The 25,847-nt window shown below is 36.7% G+C and overlaps 1 protein-coding gene across 3 annotated transcripts in view; it reads left to right on the top strand.

Annotated features, from left to right (window-relative positions):
• The window catches only part of NDST4 (N-deacetylase and N-sulfotransferase 4), a 285,858-nt gene that overhangs the window by 255,113 nt on the left and 4,898 nt on the right, over window positions 1–25,847 (top strand). For all 3 annotated transcript variants that reach the window (XM_017008545.3, NM_022569.3, XM_017008546.2), the window contains 5 exons: window positions 5,687–5,783; window positions 10,170–10,293; window positions 12,511–12,685; window positions 18,960–19,130; window positions 24,793–24,902. In XM_017008545.3, the coding sequence (XP_016864034.1) occupies window positions 5,687–5,783; window positions 10,170–10,293; window positions 12,511–12,685; window positions 18,960–19,130; window positions 24,793–24,902 (677 nt within the window). The remainder of the gene's footprint in view (window positions 1–5,686; window positions 5,784–10,169; window positions 10,294–12,510; window positions 12,686–18,959; window positions 19,131–24,792; window positions 24,903–25,847) is intronic.

Raw genomic sequence — 25,847 nt, 5'->3', positions numbered from 1 at the left:
CCATCACTCTCAGGCGAGCAACTTGTAGAAACTGGGGTATGTTAATAGGACCAGTGACTTTCAGGGCCATATGCCTACTGCCATGCTTCCTTTACCAGAAAGAAGTTTCCCTTATCCCAAGCAATAGTATGTAAGATAACATGTCAATGAGCCATATACTCTGTGAGCCCTTTCATAGTGGTGATAGCCAGGGCTACGTGGGCAGAGAAGGAGAGTTAATGTTTGGAATACATGTCAAACCTGATGTAGGTGAATCATGCCCTTTTCATTATCACAGTGTCCAATATAATCAATGTTTCACTAAGTGGCAGGATAATGCTATTTCTGAGATTTGAAAGTATTTGCTGTTACTGTCAGGTCAGATATTCAGCACTGGCAGTAACTACAGAAGACATAGGGGAAAGAGGTCCATGCATGGCTTTCACCTGTGCTGCCATGGTTACTCTATTCATGAGCCATTTGCATTAGCTCTGGGTTAGTTGACAACAGAGGTTAGGCAACACGTAGGAATGTTGTAACCTGGCTGAATCATACTGCTCTCTTGGTTGTCAGGGCCTCTTCTACATAAAATGCTCTCTGGTGTACATTAATGTATAATACAAAGACCATCACACACTTTGGACACTATCATAGGTCCATCCACATGCCTCTTTCTTAGAACTTCCTATCTTAATTTTCCTAGCTTGTTCCTTCAAGTTGCCTGTCCTGTCCATCCTATGCCATTTATTCATCTCTGCTGATTAGTTTGTCATATCCTTACCTTTGGCTATAAGTCTATCCACAAAGCAAACAAAAAGCAGATGACTAGGTACACTGCCCACAACTCTGACAACTGAAAGAGTTCCATTAACCAGCGATTTTTAGAAACCCCTCTGAATGGAACTGTAGTGCCACCAAAGTCCATTTTAGTCTTCTACTAACATATGGGTTAGCCCATCTGCAAACCAAGCCTGGGTTTCTCCTCTTTGTCAGCAGGTTATAGAAACCCTTCACAAAACTAAAAATGAGCTGATGGAGAAGCATCAGTGCAACAGTGACAGGTGACTTAGAATCATGGGCCACTTATTTGTAAGTGGCCCCTGGATCAGCCTGACACTGATCCCAGATATACCATTCCCATCTTACAGTGAATTGTTGCTGGACATACCTGAATTTATGATTTGATGGGTCTATCACTATTCAGTTCATGGTGGGTAGTTATGGCCACTTGATCACATTAGTGACTAATGACAAACACTCTCTTCCATAGCACTCTCTTCTTGGATACAGCAGTATACAAGTGCTATGGTTTGCGTAATATGATTCAGATAGTATGCTTTGCTACAGAACCTTAAAAGTGTACATTGTGATTCTTTTCAAGTACTTGCCAGATATTCCACAAGGCATCCATTTATATCATTGATGCCATAGTATCATGAATCTTCCAGCATATAAAGCCCAAGTGTGAGGGTGGCTTGTACTTCAGCCTTACCTACTGCCTACCCCTTTCTTGCTCTAGGCCCCATCCTAAACTTGAAGCTATCTGTATCACTCAATAAATGCACAGAGAAATATTTCCTAGCACTGTGCTACCTCTTAGCAGTAGGAGTTGCAATGTACAACTTACACTTTGCTATGAACGGGATGTCCCAGTGTGCTCAAGATGTCCAGACCCCTGAAAGCTTAAAAGGTGGCAGGCTCCTAAAACTTTGTATGCTTGTCTTCCATCCTCTGAGGTGCATGTGTTTTATTAAGGCAGCCAGAGTAATTTCCACTTATTTGTCAGGTCCAAATATCATGTCAACAATATAGTGAGCCAGTGTTAGGTTCTGCAGAATGCCAGGGTGATACTGGTCCCTTTAGTCTATATAATAACACTGGGAAGAATCGGCCTAAGCATTTCTTAATGGATCTTCTATTTTAATTGGATAAAATTATATTCTGTCATAGAATAAAATGATATTGAGAAGTCTATGATTTTGCAGCACCTATATTTGGCAAAATGGTTAAAAGAATCATAATTAGAGAAAACTCACTTGACAAGTGTTATATTTAAAAGTATTTGTCAAAGAAAAACATTCTTAATGGAAAATAATTGTGAAAATATTTGGTCTCTAATATTTAGACATTTTCATATTAAAAAAATTAGAGCTGAAAATTTGCTTATTGGCCAGGCACAGTGGCTCATGCTAATCCCAGCACCTTGGGAGCCCAAGTCCAGAGAATCACTTGAGGCCAGTAGTTCCAGACCAGCCTGAGCAACATGGCAAAACCCCATCTCTACCAAAGAAATAAAAGATTAACTGGGCATGGTTGTGCACATCTGTAGTCTCAGATAATCCGGAGGCTGAGGTAGGAGAATCACTTGAATCTGAGAAGAGAAGGTTGCAGTGAGCCGAGTTGGCACCACTGCACTCCAGCCTGGGTGACAGAGCGAGACTGTGTTGAAAAAAAAAAAGAAAGAAAGAAAGGAAAGGAAGGGGCTTATCTCAACTCTCTCTCCAGTTAAAAATACAGTGGCTTACAGAGAAGAGTAATTTGAGTGTCAACACTTTCACATTTATTAACTATGAAATGCAAATTTGAGAAGGATTGAAGACAATTTTATAGAAAAGCAAAACATAATAATATATCAAAAACGATCATTCTTCAGAACTTTGGTGACATAGTATTAAAGAAAGATGTATCTAAAGAATTGATTAATACCACCAATGGCATTCTTCACAGAAATATAAAAAATAATCCTAAAATTAACATGGAACCACAATGGACCCAGAATAGCCAAAGTCATCCTAGGCAAAAAGTACAAAATAGGAAGAATCACATTACTTGACTTCAAATTATACTACAGAGCTATAGGAACCAAAATGCATGGTATTGGCATGCAAATAGACACATAGACCAATGAAACAGAATAGAGAATCCAGAAATAAACCCATACCTCTACAGTGAACTCATTTTCACCAAAGATGTCAAGAACATACACTGGGGAAAAGATAGATTCTTCAGTAACCAGTACTGGAAAAACTGGATAGCTGCATGCAGAAGAATGAAACTAGACCCCTATCTCTCTCCGTACACAAAATAAAATTAAAATGGATTAAAGACTTAAAACTAAGACCTCAAACTATAAAACTACTAAAATAAAACATTGGAGAAACTCCCCAAGACATTTAGTCTGGGCAAAGATTTCTTAAGCAATACCCCACAAGTCCATGCCAAAGCAAAAATGGGCAAATGGGATCACATCAAGTTAAAAGGCTGCACAGCAAAGGAAACAATAAAGTTTAGAGACAACCCAAAGATTGAAGTAAAATATTTGCAACTACCCATCTGAGAATGAATTTTTAACCAGAATATGTAAGGGATTCAAACAACTCTATAGGAAAAAAAAAACTAATAATCTGATTTAAAAATGGGCAAAGGATCTGAATAGACATTTCTCAAAAGAAGATATACAAATGCCAAATTATTATATGAAAATGTTCTCAACATCATTGATCATCAGAGAAATGCAAATCAAAACTACAATGAGATGCCATCTCACCCCAGTTAAGACATATCTTGTCCAAAAGACAAGTAATAACAAATGCTAGTTAAGATGTAGAGAAAAGGGAACACTTGGACACTGTTGGTGGGAATGTAAATTAGTACAACCACTATGGAAAACAATATGGAGTTTCCACACAAAACGAAAAATAGAACTACCATGTGATTCAGCAATCTAACATCATGAATATTAAAAATATTCTAAAAAAGAAAGGAAATTGGTCGGGCTCATGCCTGTAATCCCAGCACTTTGGGAGGCTGAGGTGGACAGATCATGAGGTCAGGAGATAGAGACCATCCTGGCTAACATAGTGAAACCCCGTCTTTACTAAAAATACAAAAAATTAGCCGGGTGTGGTGGCACGTGCCTGTGGTCCCAGCTACTCGGGAGGCTGGGGCAGGAGAATCGCTTGAATTTGGGAGGCGAAGGTTGCGGTGAGCCGAGATTGTGCCATTGCACTCCAGCCTGGGCAACAAGAGCAAAACTCTGTCTCAAAAAAAAAGAAAGGAAATCAGTATATTGAAGAGATACCTGCACTCCCACATTTATTTCAGCACTATTCACAATAGCCAAGATTTGGAAGCAACTTAAGTATCCATCAACAGAGAAATGAATGAAGGGAATGTGGTACTTATACACAATGAAGTACTATTCAGCCATGAAAAAGAATGAGATTTTGTCATTTTCAACACCATGGATGAAACCTGAGGATATTACGTTAAGTGAAATAAGCCAGGCACAAAAAGGCAAACTTCACATGTTCTCATGCATTTGTGAGAACTTAAAATTAAAACAATTGAACTCATGGAGATAGAGCATATAATGATACAATGATGGGTACCAGGGGCTGGGAAGCAAAGTGGAGGTGGTAGGAATGGGGATCGTTAATGGGTGCAAAAATATAGTTAGATCGAATGAATAAAATCTAGTATTTAACAGCACAACAAGGTGACTACAGTCAACAATAATTTATTTTACATTTAAAATAACAAAAGCATAAAATTAGAACACTTGTACTACAAGAAATGATAAATGCTTGAAGTAATGGATACCCCATTTACCCTGATGTGATTATTATGTATTGTATGCCTGTATCAAAATATCTGATGTATTTCAAAAATGTATATACCCACTATGTAGCCATAAAATTAAAAATTAAAAAATTAAAAATTAAGTGAAAAAGGAACTGATTAAAGTACAGAAATATGAACCATAAATGTTTTTCCTTCTTGTTTCATTGTTAATATTGGGATAATAAATATAAAAATAGAATGTTTTAATTTCCAAGGTATATGTTTTTTAAAAATACTTTTACTTGTGACAATCATCTTGAATATAATTATTGTGTAGGTCACCAATATAATAAAACCAACATGGCAGTCAATAAATATTTCAAAAATTTTATCCTTTTAATTTTAAAAGCCCTTTTAATTCTCAAAAGTGTAATGATTTTGGTAATAAATTAGAGTCAGCCAGATAGAATGAAATAAAAACTGGCACTGGAAGTGTAGGTTAGATGGGCATAATATTGGACCAATGGATACATTGGGTATGTTGAGTCTGAAATTTCCTCACCGTATCTATACAAAAATGATATATTTGCAATATAAAACCTTAAGTCTAGAGCTCAGGAGGGAGGTAGAGGCTGGATACTGATCTAGAAGCTATCAGCTTATAAGATGTGGCCAAACCATGGGAATATTTGAATCAAAACATGAAATGAAATGAAAAGGAAAAGTTGGCCAAGTCTGGAATTCAAGGATAGCATTCCAGCCTCTAGGGAGAAAAAATAGGAATGATTAGGGAGAACACAGTAATATGAGTAACTATGATGAAACCAGGTTAAGTCAAGTCCTCTGATATATAGACATAAAACATAAACCAAGAAATAGAGTAGTATCACAGGGATTAGAGCCTTGCCAAACACTGAAAGATGATAACAACAGGAAGGACTTGATGCTGAGTCCCAGCCTTGAGATAAGGAAGGTGTCAATAACTTTATTTAAAAAAGATTTGGAAACCAGAGAACGAGAGTGAGGTCTAACTCCAAGTTCTAAGGTATTAGGCCAGAATTTGATTCCATCTTTTGAACAATTTTTAGAGAACAGAGCCAGACAGTCATTACACTGTGAGGTTACTTATTCTTCCTTCTTGCAGAATCCATGTGATGATAAACGACACAAAGACATCTGGTCCAGAGAGAAAACTTGTGACCACTTACCAAAATTTCTAGTAATTGGTCCACAAAAAACAGGTAAAAATAGCCAATTGTGCTACTTATATCCTTTTTAAAAATATTTTATGAAATACATTGGTATATGGATTTATCAGATTAGATTTTTCTTTGTGAAATATTTAGCTATCCATGCAAGTTTATTATTTGAACTGCTTGTCATCTCCATGATTCGCATTTATACCATGAACCTCAAGAGGATCTTAAAGTTTCCCACTAAGTAGCCTTAAACACTAAATTCTTTATGAACTTTAAAACTGTTCAACATACATGCCAAATTTGGACAACTTTGAACTTATGTGTCTCAGTTGTTGTACCTCATCTTTAATTTTTACTTTTTTGGCTTTATTTAATTAATTTCTAAAGCAATTTATAAAAACATGTTTTGGCCCGATTCAAACTATTTTATCTGGTATATCAGCCTTTGAATTGATTTTTATTCAGTCACTGCCATGATTACTTTCAAATATTTTACATATGTGATTCCTTTTAAAAAATTAATCATTAGGTATTAGCATGATATGGACTTACTTTCTGAAACACTTGAAGTTCATCAGGTATTTTTTCCTTGGTATTCTCTCATGCACTGAAGGACAACTGTATAAGAATGCAGTAAAAGAGAGTGAAAGCATTTCACCAATGAGATGACACTTTCAATTAGAATATTTTATACTTTCTTCAGTATGTGACAGTTTTATACACTTTGCTCATGTCCTGATTAATTAAAGTTTTATTGAGTTGCTGTATTTTGAATTCACTACTTTGACTAGAAGCATTTTCATCAGTGAGTGCACAAACCATAACAGAAAACAAACAGTCTCAATAAATAAGCCTGGCCCAGATGAAGGTATTTGTAATACAAGTAAGTAGGTCATTTTAAAAGTTGTGGGCAAAATTTCCAGACTATTAAATATTGGTTGTTGAAATCTTTTCTTTCTCTAGGAATATAAATTGTATTACAACAGTAAGTTAACACATGTGCAGGGAGGGGAAAGAGCAACACATATTTTCAGATAGATCACTTTTGTTGTTGTTTAAAATGTACATTAATTTTCTACCAACTCCCTTACAGCATTGCTAACTCTGGAGTGACTACTAAAGAAATAAAACACTCCTGTGTTGTAAAATTGTGTTAAAAATCTAATAGAAAGATGTATCCCCTATCATTTGTCATTGAATATTATTATGTTTTAGTTCTGTGAAAAAATTACAGCTTAGTAACTATAAATCTATTTTTCTTTCTTGTTGTTTGCATTCATAAAGACATTAAGCTATACGTTTAGATTTTCATATTTGACCTACCAGTATGGAAATGATAAAGCATTTAGCTGGTTTTGGCTTTCCTAAGACAAACAAACAAATAAGATGTTAAAACAAAGGAATCAGATGGTAATAATATTTCATAGGCTATGAAAATATTCTTCTAATATAAAAACGGTTGTAGTAATTCTTAAAATCCAATTGTAGAAGTCTGAAGTCATAGTTTGTTCTTCTTATTGCTTCAGTTGGCAAAACACCCAGTGCTGTCAGAGACTATAAATTCACTGCAGGGGGGTCACAAATACGTGCTGCCAATCTTCCCTTAAATGCAAACTTGTCTTTCAGTGACTTAAATGTGGTGCATGCATCTCTTACAAGAAGCATGAGGTACAAAAGTGGTTCCCAAACTCCTATTTGCTCAGTTTTTGTGAGGTGAGAATGGAAAGACGTGATATTTCACTTTGCCATTGCTGAATCCCAGAAGAGATTCCTGTGGGCTGAAAGTCGGTCAGGGAATGAGGAAGGGGAGAAGAGAAATAGGCAGAGATGATGGACATAGACTTAGAGACCTTAGACTTAAGGGACTCAAAGTTCAAATCATAGTCCCTTGTGAGCCTTTGAACAGATATTCATCCTTCATCATTCAGAGTCAAATTCTGGTATTGTCAATGTAAAAAGAGGATTCTCATAGGGTTACATTTAGCACAACAATTATAAGAGCATAACTCATTGGCCTTAGATCTTTCAGAAGATCAGTGTTCACACTGTCAATATTAATGTCTCATGATTTGCCTGGCTTACCCCCGTACATTAAAACTAAGGAGGAGTTGATTGTATATAAAATAGAATAGTTTCTATTAGTATAGGATTTTTTCCTCTTCTTCCATGAAATATTTATATTAAAGAAGTTGATATAAAAGGAAATGAGGTAAAAGAAATTGATAGAAAATTAATGTCAAGGATAGATGAAAAATTTAGGTGATAATTTTTAAAATGTGCATTTTGAGGTAATGGGCCCAGATTTTATGGCTGATTACATGAATATCAAGCCACATTTTTTCTGTTTCTAGTTGAGAGTGCTTGCTCTCTCCTCCCTATCAGATGCCTCTTGATGTCCCTTAAGGTCCTGGAGGCATGAAGGTATGTGTGCAGAACATAAAGGCTTTGGCTTTCTGTAGGCCAGGGGAGATCGGGGTACGATTATGTGACCAACAGGGTAATTAAACATTTCTACTTATTACTGAGTGAGGCTATAAAGTGTCTATATTTAGATAATCAACAACTAAAGAATATTTTTATCTGTGCCCTGCATGCATCTACCTTCAATACCTTAGGAATATTAAACTATCAATTTTCTCATTTGTGTTTTGTGTGTCTCAAATCTATCTTTCTCTCCACCCCCCTTAAGAAAGTGTTATCTTAAAAAGTATTTTTAAAAAAAACTTCTAGATTTCATGTTTCCTTCCAGTTTCTACTCTATTGCTAATTCATTTCCCTAGAACATTTTTTGTTTTTGCTCTTCTCACATTTTCTCGTTTTTAAACTCCTGTTATATTTAGGAGTAAACCATATAAGCTCTTGAGGATGCCCCTCGTCCCTCATAACTATTACATCTGTATTTTTCAGTGTGGTTGAGAGATTTCTCCTGTCTAAACTTTAAGACTCTAATTTAGTTCTTAACCAGTTCTGTCTCCTTCATTCTTTTAATCAAGTTTGTATAATTCGATTTCACATTTGTTATTCCTTAAATCTTTTTAAATTAGTAATTACATATCCCTAGGGCATTTATTAATTTTGCCATCTTATTTCGCACACAGTGTTTCATTCTAGGTGTTTTAACATGTCTTCCATCAAGGTGGTTGGTCCCCATGGATCTGTTGTTACGTTCTTCCCTTTAGCTACTCATTACCTCTTGGTGGCCATGTAAAGCTGGGAGGATCTAAAAGGGCGGCAATCTCATTAATACTCAAAGTGCAGTAGCCTTTGCTCATATGAGCTTAAGGTATATGTGAACAAAATGCCAATTATCTGCTGGCCTTGTCTACTTCCAGATCCCATTTGCAATGATAGTTGTTCTGCCAGCCCACCTATGTAGCTTGTCTGCAGCTCTGCTAGGGCTAGGAAATCTAACAACTGCTGCTCACTCCAATGTATCACAGAACAGTTTACCTTTTCCAGAAGAAAAGTCTTGATTTATGAGAGTTATGATGACCCAGTCAGTTCATGAGTTCTTTCTGCTATAGCTAGCTGCCAGTCTCCGGCCTGGCTCTGAGGGAAATAAGGTTCAGAGATTACATTTGAGACCTCTGCAATGTGCACACAGGTGGTTTCTATCAGCCAGTCTGCTCTATCTAGTGCTCCAATTATCAGACTTGTCATATTTTGCCAGAGAAGTCATTGAAGCAGCCATCTTTCAAGAGTCCTGCCTTCTTCTTTCAACCTTGCTGTGTAACACTTATGTTTTTAAGGAAAAGTATTAGAATACACTTCCTCCTAGAATCTGTCACTGATTTCCCAAGTCTAAATCACCCATTTTCTCATATATTGGAAAGGTGCTCTGGTCTTCTCTCATTATGGCACCTGTCCCACAACATCACAATTACTTGTGTACTTGTCCAAGTCCACACAGGGACTTTAAGTTCATTGAGGGCAGCAAATGTGTTTTCTTAATCAAGAGTTACTTCCGGACCATACACAGAGTAGCACATCAACCTCTGTTAAATAGTTTGATTTCATTCATCTGAATTTCAATGCTAATTGAAGACCCACCAGGTAAGATACCATGCCTAATGATAAAGATGGAGCCAGAAGGACCCTTGCCCTTCATGCTTTAGCCACTCACCTGACTCCTGGAGGAAAGTTGAGCTGCATGACTTCCGCAGTGCCACACTAGCTGCATCATCAGTCTGCTTTACTTTGGCCATGTGCTAATATTAAATCAGGCATTCTGATCAATAGAATCATGAAGACTAAAAATAGAACACTTAGATTGTGGCTGCATGGAATGCATCTAGTTGATTTTAAGGAAATCACTTTGATACTGGAAATAGTTGATTATTTTAATATTACTTTTTGAGCAAAAATATGCTAAAATAATATTTTGTCTCTTATTGCCATATAACCTTTTACTTTCTTTTTTTGTAACAGGAACAACTGCACTTTATTTATTTCTTCTTATGCATCCTTCAATCATCAGCAATCTCCCTAGTCCAAAGACATTTGAGGAAGTTCAGTTCTTTAATGGCAACAACTATCACAAAGGAATAGACTGGTAAGAAAAATAACAAAAAATAAATTCCATTATTAACACATGCTCAATCACTGCAGAGCAATTACAGATGTATGTGTGGCATCTGCATAATTACAGGATAAATTCACCACAGTGAATTAGAAATTAATTTATAATGATGATATGTTTAATCAGTGTTGCCTATAATGTGATTTGGACAGTGCAATAATGATAATATTTTTCTGCTAAATTAATATGATTGAATAAAAAACATTATGGGATATATTTCATCAGAATTATTCATAAGGGTATTTAAAATTCTCTTTAAGCGTAGCATTATTTAACTGTGCCTAATTTTTTTCTCAACACATAATTTGTCTTCGCAACAATGTTTCAGGCAACAAATAAATCAGTAGTTTATTTTATAATTCGTGACATGTATCTTCATTAACCACATAAACTGTAAGTTTTGTTATAATGTAGGCTGATATTTGTCATGCAAATAATAACAGGACATTTTCAAAACCATATCAATTCTAGTCACACACGTACATAAAATAAATATTAAGTAACACATGATAAATTATGAAAAAAATAAAATCACAGTATTTCCCCTAAACTAAAATAGAATAAACCTGATACTGGAAATGATTTTCACTCTGGTGATTTTTTCTAGCTCTATTCCAATTTTTCAAGAAAACATGGTCCTGAATTTAATTTCTAGTTCACAGGTATATAAAGCAAATCTCACCTGAGGAAAATTCCCCTCAATGCACACATCTGCAGCATGTAAGTTTGTGTGTCATCATCATGCATGAACCTGTTTGCAATGAAAGACACTTTTTTTTTTTTTTTTTTTTTTTTTTTTTTTTTTTTTTTTTGAGACGGAGTCTCGCTCTGTCGCCCAGGCTGGAGTGCAGTGGCGGGATCTCGGCTCACTGCAAGCTCCGCCTCCCGGGTTCACGCCATTCTCCTGCCTCAGCCTCCCAAGTAGCTGGGACTACAGGCGCCCGCCACTACGCCCGGCTAATTTTTTGTATTTTCAGTAGAGACGGGGTTTCACCGTTTTAGCCGGGATGGTCTCGATCTCCTGACCTCGTGATCCGCCCGCCTCGGCCTCCCAAAGTGCTGGGATTACAGGCGTGAGCCACCGCGCCCGGCCGAAAGACACATTTTTTTAAGGTACAGCTAGGATCAGGGTTGGGCAGGTGCAACACCGGCGAGCAGATCAAGGTTCCCATTGTTGTTGGAGATGTGTCGACTCTGCATCTGGGACATTATATCCTACCTTACTTTTAAAAGGCTAAATAACCTTTGGAATTGCATGCAGGTTATTAAAAGCAGAACGGCAATTTTCTCTGATCTGTGAGCCCAAATGGAACACAAATTGTTTAGCAGGAATATAGATGAGACTCTTCACCACTCCGCTTTTGGGAAACATAATAACAAATGTCAAAGAGGGAAATAAGTGTCTTATATGAATTCTTAATTGCTCTTATTATTTATTTCTAGAACATTTGAGGGTGAGAGAAGTGATGAGCTGTAAGGAGGGTTACACACATAATTAAAGACTTGCACTGAATTAACCTCAGAACATATTGATTCCATAATCCACACGCAGAGGAACGTTTTGACAGCATATGGAGGAGGGAACCTACTGAGGCACCACAGGATCAACTGGCAGGAAATATCCCCTTAATTACTCTAGATAGACTATAAAGTGTTCACATCGCTACGTATACTACAAATTACGAAGAAATTAAGAAGGAAGAGAACCGCCATGCCCTAAAATTGTTGGTGTTTTATAGCTATTCAGACTCACACATTTTTCTGTCTTGTGAACTTTAATCTCACCGAATAATTTCTGCATTCAAATTTGCAAACATAAATTTACTATTTTTTAATATCAACTAAACAATATAGTGTAATTTGCTATTTGCCACAGGCAAATAGTATTTCTGGAATTGGAGTTTTATAGCACAGAACATCAGCCCAAATGTATAGTACTTTTCCTTTGACCCTTATTGGCCTACCTATTTCACCTCACTCCTTCCCATGCCCAAAATGGGTCATTAGAAGAGGAATATTTTGGGTTGACTTCACATTCAATGTGTATAGAATATCTATTATTTAAACTATAACAGCATAATAATCAGAAATAGCTATAAATGAATATTAAAATGTTCCAATTATTTCACATTCAGAATATGGCAAGAAAAATTATTTTCAGATTAATTAATTGTCTTTCTCTGCCTTCAGGTATATGGACTTTTTCCCTACACCATCCAATACTACAAGTGACTTTCTGTTTGAAAAGAGTGCTAATTACTTCCATTCGGAAGAAGCTCCAAGACGAGCCGCATCTCTTGTCCCCAAAGCCAAGATCATCACCATCCTCATTGACCCCTCAGACAGGGCATACTCTTGGTACCAGGTATGGTCAGTAAAAAAATCGGCTAAAAGCATTTTGTTATAGCTTAAATGGAGGCAATGAAAAATAACCAGAATAGAACCTAAACATATGAAAAGTCAAATGTAAGAATATCTAAACCCACAACCCCCACCAAAAAATATGAGAAATATGAGCTGTATATTTAACTCGTACCAAGTTGGGCAAGGACTTTCAGGCATAAAATAATTATTTAAAAACTCACACATCACCAAAGAATTAATAGATTTCCTAAGCTATATAAACATGTAGAATGTTGATTTATCAAAAATTAACAAATTTAAAAGTCAGTTTCTAGAGTGACAATACATGGTGAATGGCATAGAGCTTTATTTTATAAAAGTTTCGTCCAAGTTAATAAATAAGTAAAATATCGCAGTAGAAAAATGAGCAAAGTGAAGAAAAGGCACAGCTAAACAATCGCACACACAAAAACAACAGTCCAACAACTTATGTGAAAATAATCAACCCAATTGGAGACCAGGTCTCACTCTATTACCCAGGCTGGCGTGCAGTGGCGTGATCATAGCTCACTGCAGCCTCTCCCTCCTGGGCTGAAGTTATCCTCCTGCCTCAGCCTCCCAAGTAGCTGAGACTACAGGCACACACCACCACACCCGCCTATTTGTTTTATATTTTTTGTAGAGATGGGGTTTCACCATGTTGCCCAGGCTGGTCTTGAACTCCCGGGCTCGAGCAATCCACCAACCTCAGCCTCCCAAAATTTTGGGACTACAAGCATGAGCCACCAAGCCCAGCCCATTCTTTTTTTTAGTATCTTGACAACAATTATGATGTTTTTCTCTGCTGGCAAGAAAGTGATTACAAAGGTTCTCAAGTGTTCCAATAGAAGGTACACTTAAGATATTTTCTGAAAACTCATTTGGCAATAATTACAAAAAAGGATGTAAAGATCTTTTAGTGATGTGATTCCCCTTCTGTAATTGATCATAAGGGAAACTTCAAAAGGATGGACAAATGTTTAGGAGCATTGCAGCACTATCTACAAAAATAATAACAAGAGGAAAGTGTTCATTGACATAGATTTGTGTCATACTAAAATGGAATATTCTGCAGCAACATTTAACTGTGGTTTTAATTAATAAAATAGTAATTAAAAGTTGTTTGTCTAATGTGTAGATATTAAATAATCATAGTGATATGTAATTAAACATTGTGAATGTACTGTGAGGAAGTATGTAAAGGTTCTCTGAAAGCATTGTGTAAGAAAATAAATTAAGACCTAAAACTGAAGGACAAGTAGATATTCCCTGAGTGAGAATAGAAGAAAGGTGGAGTAGAGGATACAGTATATGTTAAACGCATTGGATATAAAGAATCATGGCACATTTAAAGAGCTAGAAGAAATTCCGCGTGGCTAGTGGGAAAATCCTAGGTAGAGACCTATAGGAGTTGCAGCTGAGAGGCACACTAGGGCTAGAACCATCTGGCTGCTGCCATTTGTTGAGCAACTGAAAGCCTTTGAAAAACAGTAGCCAGTGTGTGACTACCAGATTTTCTTTTACAATACATCACATTATCTGCTATTTGAAGAAACTGGAATAGGACAAATGACTCTTTGGAGAAATCACACTTGAAGCTATTGCAATAGACTTAGTGAGGTATGGAAATGGTGTAGACAAAAATGGTAAGTAGAAACTGAATGAAGAATAAGTATTCAGAGATATTTAGACATTAAAATCAACAGAATTTGGTGAGAACATAGTGTCAAGGATGAAACAAATTTCCAATGTGGGCCCTAGATGATGGCCACACATTCCCATGAAAAAAGAATCGCTGCAGTATACAGGAGGGTTGGGGTGGGGTGGGAGGTGGGGACTAAAAAAAGTGTGGATTATGATCATGATGAATGAAACCCTTCATTATCAAAAGAACAGTGAAGTCAGCTGACACTCTGGGAGAAGTCTGAGCTAGATATTTGTGAATCAGAGGTATGAAGCCATGGCCATGTAAATGGTGAAATCACCTAAGGAAAGAGTTTAGAGATGAAAAGTGCAGAGCGGGATGAGGCGCCAAGAAAGACAAGAAAATATAGCCAAAATAGAAGAAAAAAATTCAGGAGTGCAGTGGCACTGATTCGAAGGGAAGGGAGTGCTGCCAGATGGAGGCGTGACAACAATTCCAAAAGCTGCTAAAAAATCAAACCATTAGGCAAAGCGAAAGATGTGGAGGGAAGTGGAGCCCTTAGCAAGACAGTAAAAAAGAGCAAAGCCAGATGGATTTTGGTGAAAAAAGAAGTAATTAGGGGTGAAGAAATAGAGGCAGCACTTGCGAAAGACTCCAAAAGTGTGATTTTGAAGGGGTAAAACAGGACACTGGTTTATTACATAGAAGTAGAAGTAGAACTGAGAAAACATGATCTGTAGTAGTGTTGATTTGATAAGTCATTTCCAAAGAAAAAGAGAGGTTAAAGGCCCAGAAGAGAAAATAGGTAACCAACTCCGCGGAGATACAGGAAAGAATGGCTATAGGAAATGGCTTAGATGGTGGGACCAGGGGCAACCCTGCCTGCATTCTGAGTTCTTAACTTTTCTTGTGTTGAGATTCTTCTAGCTGTCTGGTGGTTCCTGTAAGTGTTTCAAAAATATATTTTAAAAGCCTAAAACGAAATATGTATACAAAAGAAACTGCTATGTTAATGTGAAATACTTTTTCAATCAGTAACAAACTTTTTAATTAAATCATCATATGATAATTTGATGAGTCTAGTACTATATCATATGATATATGATATATGATTTGATGAGTCTAGTACTACATCATATGATAATGATGAGTCTAGTACTATAATAACTTTGAAATAGTGACCATAAGCAACATTTTGATATATCTAAGACACTGGTAATGGGATATAAAATAACTGATTTTTATTGGTGGTAAAATCACAATCACAGTACAATAAATACTGTGGCTGTTGTCTACATACATTCCATTCAGTAATTACTGAAAACAAAGTTTTTTGTTGTTGTTGCTTTTTTGTTTTTTTTTAATGGAGTCTCACTCTGTCGCCCAGGTTGGAGTGCAATGGCGTGATCTCGGCTCACTGCAACCTTCACCTCCCAGGTTCATGCCATTCTCCTGCCTCAGCCTCCTGAGTAGCTGGGACTACAGGTGCGTGCCACCATGCCTGGCTAATTTTTTTTTTTTTTTTTTTTTTTTTTTTTTTTTAGTAGAGACTGGTTTTCATCGTGTTTTCCCCAATCTCCTGAACTCGTGATCCGCCTGCCTCGGCCTCCCAAAGTGCTGGGATTACAGGCGTGAGCCACCGCGCCCTGCCACAAAAAGTATTTTTGTCGTTTTTCTTTTTTTTCTTTTGCTGATCCGAGTTCGTAGACACACTGTATTCTATCAACAGGCCTATGTTTGAGAATCCCTGGGTTGAAGCTTAAGGGATAGAAGAGGGGATGAATGTAGACACTGGTAAATCCAAAGACCTGAGATGGAAAAATTGAAGTGACTGTGATGGTCTCTCCTTCCTTTGAGAAGCCTGGAATGAGTTAATCTGATGAAAAGAGGGTGATAGTTTGAAGACACAGCAGTTTGAGAAGAGGAAAAAAAGAGGATGTGAAATCATTATACAGTGGCGCAATAAAGCTGACAACAAAAATGTAAATTCGCCTACAGCAATGATGGCCTAATACAAGTTGGTAATCTTGAAGTTATGATGGTAACAGTGTATATATACCAAAATCCCAACGATGTGAGTGCATTTTGTGTATGTACGAATTTAGTGCATATACAAATTAATACCAAAGTAAAGAAGACTAAAAGGGAATTTTTGAAGGGTGGAGTAGGATAACAAGTAATTTCATTTTTTTGCTTCTTTTTCTTGATTTTTCAAAATTTATTTAATAAAAAATGTATTACTGAAAACAAATACTGATGTATAGAAAAATGTGACATTGCAAACTGGAGGTCGAGTAGTTGGGATCCAAAAAAAACACTTAGATTGGAAGCAAAATTTATAAACTACCATCAGAATTTATCTAATACACGAGTCAGTATTTCCCACAAGGTACAAGAATTATGTCTTTCTCAGTTTGTGAACACTCATTGCAAAGCAAGATAAACTTATTTTTTCAGTATACCAAAAGCATTAAAGCATGAAGCCTTAAAGTTATAAATTTAAGCAATTGAGGAAAATGTTAAACATTTCCCTAGCAGAAAGCATGGTCACTATCTAGAGCAGATTTAAGTGAATCTTTTTTTTCCACATAGATTAAACCAGTTCAATAAAAGAGAATCTTTATGATGTGTGTGCCTCTCTGCGCTTGCTTTTTCAAATAAATTCTTTGAACATACATACAGGTTTGAAAGGAATTATTTTTTCTGATAATACTTTTTATTGCTGTATTGCAGTGAGCAGGGCCCCACACTGCTCCACATTTCAAAATAATGTAGCCTATTACTTAGCTAGTCCTGTCTATTCAGTAAATACCATAAATCCAAAGCTCAGCAGGCATAATTCAGAAACTCCTACAAATGTCACCTGCCGCTGTAATTTCTACCCCACATTTTTATAACGGACCTCGCAGAGGAGCTATAGTGCTGTTTTTCCATAAAATATGTCCTTTTGTGACTTCATGGTCATATTTTTATGCTAATCTACTTAGTTGCAGGAATATAAAGAAAAGTTGGTGCTAAACTGGTAAAAGTCAACATAGAACAGATTAAGCACAGTTTCATATTATCACTGCTTAAGGTAGACATTTTAGCATTACTGTATTAAATATGTATGTAGTGTGTTTCTTATTCTTCATTGAAATTATATAATTTCTACACATTTTACTAATTAAATGAGTTATATAATCTATATACTCAGCATAAGGTATACACATGTAAAAATATCAATAAATATACAACAACAAGAGAACTTCAAAAGTGTATGCCACTTACTAATTATTCTTTAACCACTCATCAATTCCTAATCATCTTTACTTTTCTAGTTATTTTTATTTCTAACTCACACATAAGATCCATCACTCACACATAAGGCCAGCCATTACACAGTCATAGCACGGACCAGTATACTTCCACATTTACCCTACACTAGAATTTCTTCAAATTCACTTTTAGAAGTTTCACAACACTTATTCCCGCATACCTCATCTATCTTAGCTCAAACTTACCTTAGATGACGAAGTCCTCTTAGTTTTCATATGTGTTTGGTGGTTTTGTTTTTCTGATTATCACAATCTTTCTCCTTACATTTTAGCTTGAAAGCTTCAACCGTTGAAAAGTCCTTTCATGCTGCAGTCAGAATTAATCCCTTACTGATCTGGCTGTCACAGCAAGTAACTTCTACCTCTAATCAAATATGTCAAATATACAACTTTATTCCAATCTATTGTCTCCCACACTAGATCTGATTTCTTTGAAGAGAGTGGTTATGTCTTATATCTTTTCATCTCCAGGATCTATCTCAGATCTTTGTTCTGGAAAGAAGCTTAAATAATGCTTGTTAAATTGTATTGACTGTTAAATTTATCTCTCACTGAGCTGGGCCCTTTCCTGTTTGACCAATGATAGTTTGGTGTGACTCAGGATTTGATACTGAAAAGTAGAAGTGAAGCAGTATTCGTGAATTAGCAGGTTTAGATAGAAACCCTTTCAAACAGAAAGGACCTTGGGTGATGTAATATGAATATGACATCTAAACAAGCATGAGAAATAGACAGCAGCTTTCTCTGTACCCATAGCACCTGATACACAGGGATATTGGGGAAATGTCAGAATCTGAAGGAGTGGCAGTAATGGAACAGTGGCCCAAGAAACATGTAAGACTACTCTTAAAAAGATTATTCTTGCAAAATCTAAATTTTTCATTAGGGTTGATTTGTCTGGTCTCTGACATCATCTCAGTCTTAATAATATCCATGAAGAAAATCCTCACATCCTACCTCTGCCTTGCACCTAACCACTTTAGACATAAATATAACTACAAGTTTATGTGTATACCACTTGATATATAGTGAAGGCTTGTACTTTAATTTACTTTAAAATAAGCAGTGTGCCAATGGGTATTCCAATGTATACGGTTGTCATTCTATTTCATTTCATTAGTTTATTTTCATTCTAAAATTAAGTATTTGATTTGTTATTATTTTGTGACATAAAGGACACACACATTTATACATACACACCAAACACACACATGCATGTGCTCACCCATACACATATGCATATCTACACAGGCATTAAAAAAAATCTAACTTTACAATTGACTTTCTTGTTAAAGCACCAACGATCACATGAAGATCCAGCTGCTCTGAGGTTCAATTTCTATGAAGTTATTTCAACAGGACATTGGGCTCCATCTGACTTAAAAACTTTGCAGAGAAGATGCCTAGTACCTGGATGGTATGCAGTCCACATAGAAAGATGGCTAACTTACTTTGCTACTTCTCAGGTAATGTCCTGAAATTACTTTCTTCTGTTTATTTTATTATAATGTCCTGAAATTTTATATTTTATTATAATGTCCTGAAATTACTTTCTTCTGCTTATCATGATTGTATTGCACTGACAAGCAGAAAATGGGAATTAACATTGCCAGAGACAGTGATTTATAATCAGAGACAATGATAAGTAAGGAAGAAATGTGCATTTTACATTTTTAATTTTATTAATACTATTAACATTATAAATATCTCTAAAACACATTCTTACAATCTTCTTTTGAACAGTAGCTAGTTTCAAGGTGATAAGTTCTCATACAGGAGACATCATGTGATTTATGGGCAACAACTCTCAACTACCAGTACAATAGCCAGTTAGACAACAACTTTACGAAACACCACATGCAGATACCTGCATGTTGTTTGTTCTGTATGGCCCTTATAAGGAAAGAAGGTCATGCACTAGGCTGCCAAATGGGGAGTGTTATAATGGCTACAGGAACATGAGATAGATCAAGAAATAAGGATTTGAAAAAAGGCATCCATATATTTTTTTTTGTATTGATCTTCAAAAAAAAAAAAAAGTTCTGGGCTACATGTGCAGAACATGCAGGTTTGTTACATAAGTATACATGTGCCACGGTGGTTCGCTCCACCCATCAATCCGTCACCTACATTAGGTATTTCTCCTAATGCTATCCCTCGCCTTGCCCCACACCCCTGACAGGCCACAGTGTGTGATGTTCCCCTCCCTGTGCCTATATGTTCTCATTGTTCAACTCCCACTTATGAGTGAGAACATGCGGAATTTGGTTTTCTGTTCCTGTGTTAGTTTGCTGACAATGATGGTTTCCAGCTTCATCCATGTCCCTACAAAGGACATGAACTCATCCTTTTTTATAGCTGCATAGTATTCCATGGTGTATATGTGCCATATTTTCTTTATCCAGTCTAAAATTGATGGGCATTGGGCTGGTTCCAAGTCTTTGCTATTGTGAATAGTGCTGCAATGAACATACGTGTACATGTGACTTTATATTAGAATGATTTATAATCTTTTGGGTATATACCCAGTAATGGGATTGCTGGGTCAAATGGTAGCTCTGGCTCTAGATCCTTGAAGAATTGCCATACTGTCTTCCACAATGGTTGAGCTAATTTACACTCCCACCAACAATGTAAAAGCATTCCTATTTCTCCACATTCTCTCCAGCGTCTGTTGTTTCCTGACTTTCTAATGATCACCATTCTAACTGGCATGAGATGGTATCTCATTGTGGTTTTGATTTGCATTTCTCTAATGAACAGTGATGATAAGATTTTTCCATATGTTTGTTGATCACATAAATGTCTTCTTTTGAGAAGTGTCTGTTCATATACTTTGCCTACTTCTTGATGAGGTTGTTTTTTTCTTATAAATTTGTTTAAGTTCCTTGTAGATTCTGGATATTAACCCTCTGTCAGATGGATTGCAAAAATTTTCTCCCATTCTTTAGGTAGTCTGTTCACTCTGATGATAGTTTCTTTTGCTGTGCAGAAGCTCTTTAGTTTAATTAGATCCCATTTGCTAATTTTGGCTTTTGTTGCCATTGCTTTGTGTGTTTTAGTCATAAAGTCTTTGCCCATGCCTATGTCCTGAATGGTATTGCCTAGGTTTTCTTCTAGGATTTTCATGGTTTTAGGTCTTAGACTTAAATCTTTAATCCATCTTGAGTTAACTTTTGTATAAAGTGTAAGGAAGGGGTCCAGTTTCAGCTTTCTGGATATGGCTAGCCAGTTTTCCCAACACCATTTAGTAAATAGGGAATCCTTTCCTCATTGCTTGTTTTTGTCAGGTTTGTCAAAGATCAGATGTTTGTAGATGTGTGGTGTTATTTCTGAGGCCTCTGTTGTGTTTCATTGGTCTGTATATCTGTTTTGGTGCCAGTACCATGCTTGTTTGGTTACTGTAGCCTTGTACTATAGTTTGAAGTCAGGTAGCATGACGCCTCCAGCTTTGTTCTTTTTGCTTAGGATTGTCTTGGCTATACGGGCTCTTTTTTTGGTTCCATATGAAACATCAACATCAACATAAAGTACCCCCACACAAAAACCCCATCCAAAGGTTATCAGCCTCAAAGATCAAAGGTAGATAAATCCACGAAGATGAGGAAAAACCAGTGCAAAAATGATGAAAATTTCAAAAACCAGAATGCCTCTTCTCCTCCAAATGATTGCAACTCCTCTCCAGCAAAGGCACAAAACTGAACACAGGATGAGATTGATGAATTGACAGCAGTAGGCTTCAGAAGGTGGATAATAACAAACTCCTCTGAGCTAAAGGAACATGTTGTAACCCAATGCAAGGAAGCTAAGCACTTGGTAAATGTTACAGGAACTGCTAACTAGAATAACCAGTTTAGAAAGGAACCTAAATGGCCTGATGGAGCTGAAAAACACAGCATGAGAACTTTGTGAAACATACACAAGTATCAATAGCCGAATCGATCAAGCAGAATAAAAGCTATCAGAGATTGAAGATCAACTTACTGAAATAAGGTATGAAGACAAGATTAGAGAACAAAGAATAAAAAGGAATGAACAAAGCCTCCAAGAAATATGGGACTATGTGAAAAGACCAAAGCTACAATTGATTGGTGTACTTGAATGTGACAGGGAGAATGGAACCAAGTTGGAAAACACAATTCAGGATATTATCCAGGAGAACTTCCCCTACCTAGCAAGACAGGCCAACATTCACATTCAAGAAATACAGAGATCACCACTAAGATACTCCATGAGAAGACCAACCCTAAGACACATAATCATCAGATTCTCCAAGGTTGAAACGAAGAAAAAAATGTTAAGGGCAGCCAGAGAGAAAGGTCAGGTTACCTACAAAGGGAAGTCCATCAGACTAACAGCAGATCTCTGCAGAACCCCTACAAGCCAGAAGAGAGTGGGGGCCAATATTAAACACCCTTAAAGAAAAGAATTTTCAAACAGAAAAAAGAATTTCATATTTAGCCACACTAAGCTTCATAAGCGAAAGAGAAATAGAATTATTTACAGAGAAGCAAATGCTGAGGGATTTTGTCACCACCAGGCCTGCCTTACAAGAGCTCCTGACAGAAGCACTAAATATGGAAAGGAAAAAACCTGCATCAACCCTGCAAAAACACATCAAAATATAAAGACTGATGACACTATGAAGAAATTGTATTAAGTAATGTACAAAATAACCAGCTAGCATCATGATAACAGAATCAAATTCATACATAACAATATTAACCTTAAATGTAAATGGGTTAAATGCCCCAATTCAAAGACACAGATTGGCAAATCAGATACATATTCAAGGCCCACTGGTATGCTGTATTCAGGAGACCCATCTCACGTGCGAAGACGCACATAGGCTCAAAATAAAGGAATGGAGGAATATTACAAAGCAAGTGGAAAGAAAAAAAAATGCAGAGGTTGCAATCCTAGTCTCTGATAAAGCAGACTTTAAACTAACAAAGATCCAAAAAGACAAAGAAGGGCATTAAATAACAGTAAAGGGATCAACGCAACAAGAAGATCTAACTATCTTAAATATATATGCACCAAATACAGGTGCACCCAGATTCATATAACAAGTTCTTAAACACCTACAAAGAGACTTAGACTCCCACACAATAATGGTGGGAAACTTTAACACCCCACTGTCGATATTAGAACAATGACAGAAAATTAACAAGGATATCCAGGAATTGAACTCAGCTCTGGACTAAATGGAACTAATAGACATCTACAGAACTCTCCACTCCAAATCAACAGAATATACATTCTTCTCCACACCACACAGCATGTATTCTAAAATTGACCACGTAATGGGAAGTACAACACTCTTCAGCAAATGCAAAAGAATGGAAATCATAACAAACAGTCTCTCAGACCACAGTGCAATCAAATTAGAACTCAGGATTAAGAAACTCACTCAAAACCGCACAACTACACGGAAACTGAGCAACCTGCTCCTGGGTGACTACTGGGTAAATAACAAAATTAAAGCAGAAATAAAGAAGTTCTTTGAAATAAATGAAAATAAAGAGACAACATACCAGAATCACTGGGACACAGGTAAAGCAGTCTTAAGAGAGAAATTTATACCACTAAATGACAACAGAAAGCTGGAAAGATCTAAAATCAACACTCTAACATCATAATTAAAAGAACTAGAGAAGCAAGAGCAAACAAATTCAAAAGCTAGCAGAAGACAAGAAATAACTAAAATTAGAAAATTAGAGCAGAACTGAAGGAGATAGACATGAAAAACCTTTCAAAAAATCCATGAATCCAAGAGCTGGTTTTTTGAAAAGATTAAGAAAATATATGGACCACTAGCTAGCTAGACTAATGAAGAAGAAAAGAGAGAAGAATCGAATAGACACAATCAAAAGTGATAAAGGAGATATTACCATTGATCCCACAGAAATACAAACTGTCATCAGAGAATACTATAAACACCTCTATGCAAATAAACTAGAAAATCTAGAAGAAATGGATAAATTACTGGACACATACACCTTCCCAAGACTAAACCAGGAAGAAGTCAAATCCCTGAATAGACCGATAACAAGTTCTAAATTTGAGGCAGTAATTAATAGCCTACCACCAAAAACACAGGATCAGACTGCTTCACAGCCGAATTCTACCAGAGTTACAAAGAGGGACTCCTCCCTAACTCATTTTATAAGGCCAGCATCATCCTGATATCAAAACCTGGCAGAGACTTAACAAAAAAAGCATAACTTTAATATTCTATCTTCCAGCTCAGGGCAAATTGAAGCCCTAGTAGCTGGGCCTTACCATTGACCTTTTTCCAGTATTCCTTTTTTTTTTTTTTTTTTTTTTGAGATGGAGTCTCGCTCCATCACCCAGGCTGGAGTGCAGTGGCACGATCTTGGCTCACTGCAACCTTGGCCTCCTGGGTTCAAGCAATGCTCCTGTCTCAGCCTCCCATGTAGCTGGGACTACAGGAGCCTGCCACCATGACTGGCTAATTTTTGTATTTTTAGTAGAGACAGGGTTTCACCTTGTGGGTCAGGCTGGTCTCGAACTCCTGACCTCAGGTGATCCACCCACCTCAGCCTCACACAGTGCTGGGATTACAGGTGTGAGCCACTGCGCCCGGCCTTTTCCAGTATTCCTTTGACAATTATGATATTCTAGGGCAGTGATCCAATGATCAGTAAGGCATGGACAAACATTTCCCTCCTCCCTCTGTCTTGTTTGTTTAAGATTAGATGGGTGATTTTCATTTGGATGACCACTATTTCTGAGCCCTAAGCTCCAGGGTTAGCTAATAGGAATTTGGTAGGCTGGATAATTATCTGATCACACAACAAATGGAAAATTATGTTTCTACTGAAGCACTAAATCAAGAAAGTGTCTATGTTTACTTCTGATTTACAAAAAGCAAGTTAAGGGCTATAACTTGATAATTCACAAGAAATGATGCCTATGGCAAACTTTATTGTTTATGTGGAAGGATGCAAGAATAATAAACATTCGGATGTATTCTAAGTAGGGCATATTTGCTTCCTATTCACACTGATCTAATTTATGAATGTCACACCAGGTAAAGGAAGGCATCACAGTCTATTCAATTTAATTTTTTTCTTCATAAAGTGACTATTTCTGACTTTACAGTTGCTAATTATTGATGGACAGCAGCTGAGATCTGACCCAGCTACTGTGATGGATGAAGTCCAGAAGTTTCTGGGAGTTACACCTCGTTATAATTACTCTGAAGCACTAACGTGAGTCTATTGTCATGCTTGATTTCATTTCCATTATTTGCCATCATAAATTATCACTGGTAGGTGTGTATATAACATCATTAATACTAGCTAGAATTTATACATCCTATGCTACCTACAAGCAATCAAAGGAATATCCTCATCAATCATGTAGTGTTTCTCTTTTAAATATGAGAAATACTTTATTTTGTAAAGTATATGTTATATTATTGCAAATTCTTCTTTTTGTGAGTTTTCCCTGTTATCAGTTTGATTAAGTAAATTTTTTATATGCCTACCTGTGCAGAAAGTGTCCTAGAAATTTAGTTTACAAAGGTGAAAAAGATATTGTCTCCTCTTTCAAGAAATTTACAGGTTAGAAATGAAATGCAATATGTAGGACAGAATTGGGAAATGAGTATATTCATGTTTTATTATGTATTTATTAAATTATTTATAACCAAATATAATCATGTATACTGTTCCAGCTATTTATTGTTGCATGACAAACCATCCCAAAGCCTAGTGGCTTATAATGACCATTATTTTATTATGCTCATGGAATCTGTGGGTCAGGAATTAGACAGGATACAGAAGGATGGCTTGTCTTCGCTCATGATGTTTAGAGCCACAGCCTGGAAGACTTGAATATCTGGCTTTGACTCAGATGACTGGGACCTGAAATCATCTGGAGTCTCCTTTACTCACGTCTCTGAATCCTGGACTGGCATGGCTCAAAGGCTGAGATCAGTGGGTTGAAGACTCTCCATGAGGCCTCCTGGATGACTTGGCTTTCTCACCTTGTGGTGGCTGTGTTCCAAGAGGGAGCAATAAGTCAAGGGAGCATGTGGTCCAAGACAGCCAAGTCCTTCTCTGACCTGGACCTGCCAGTCACACAGTATAACTTAGGCTACATTCTACTTGTTACAATAGTCACTAAAGCCAGTCCAAATCCAAGGGGAGAAA

The sequence above is a fragment of the Homo sapiens genome, chromosome 4 (genome assembly GCF_000001405.40).
Source record: "Homo sapiens chromosome 4, GRCh38.p14 Primary Assembly".
NCBI classification, from domain to species: Eukaryota; Metazoa; Chordata; class Mammalia; order Primates; family Hominidae; genus Homo; species Homo sapiens.
The sequence above is the reverse complement of the archived record's forward strand: the minus strand, read 5'-3'. Positions and strand labels throughout refer to the sequence as shown.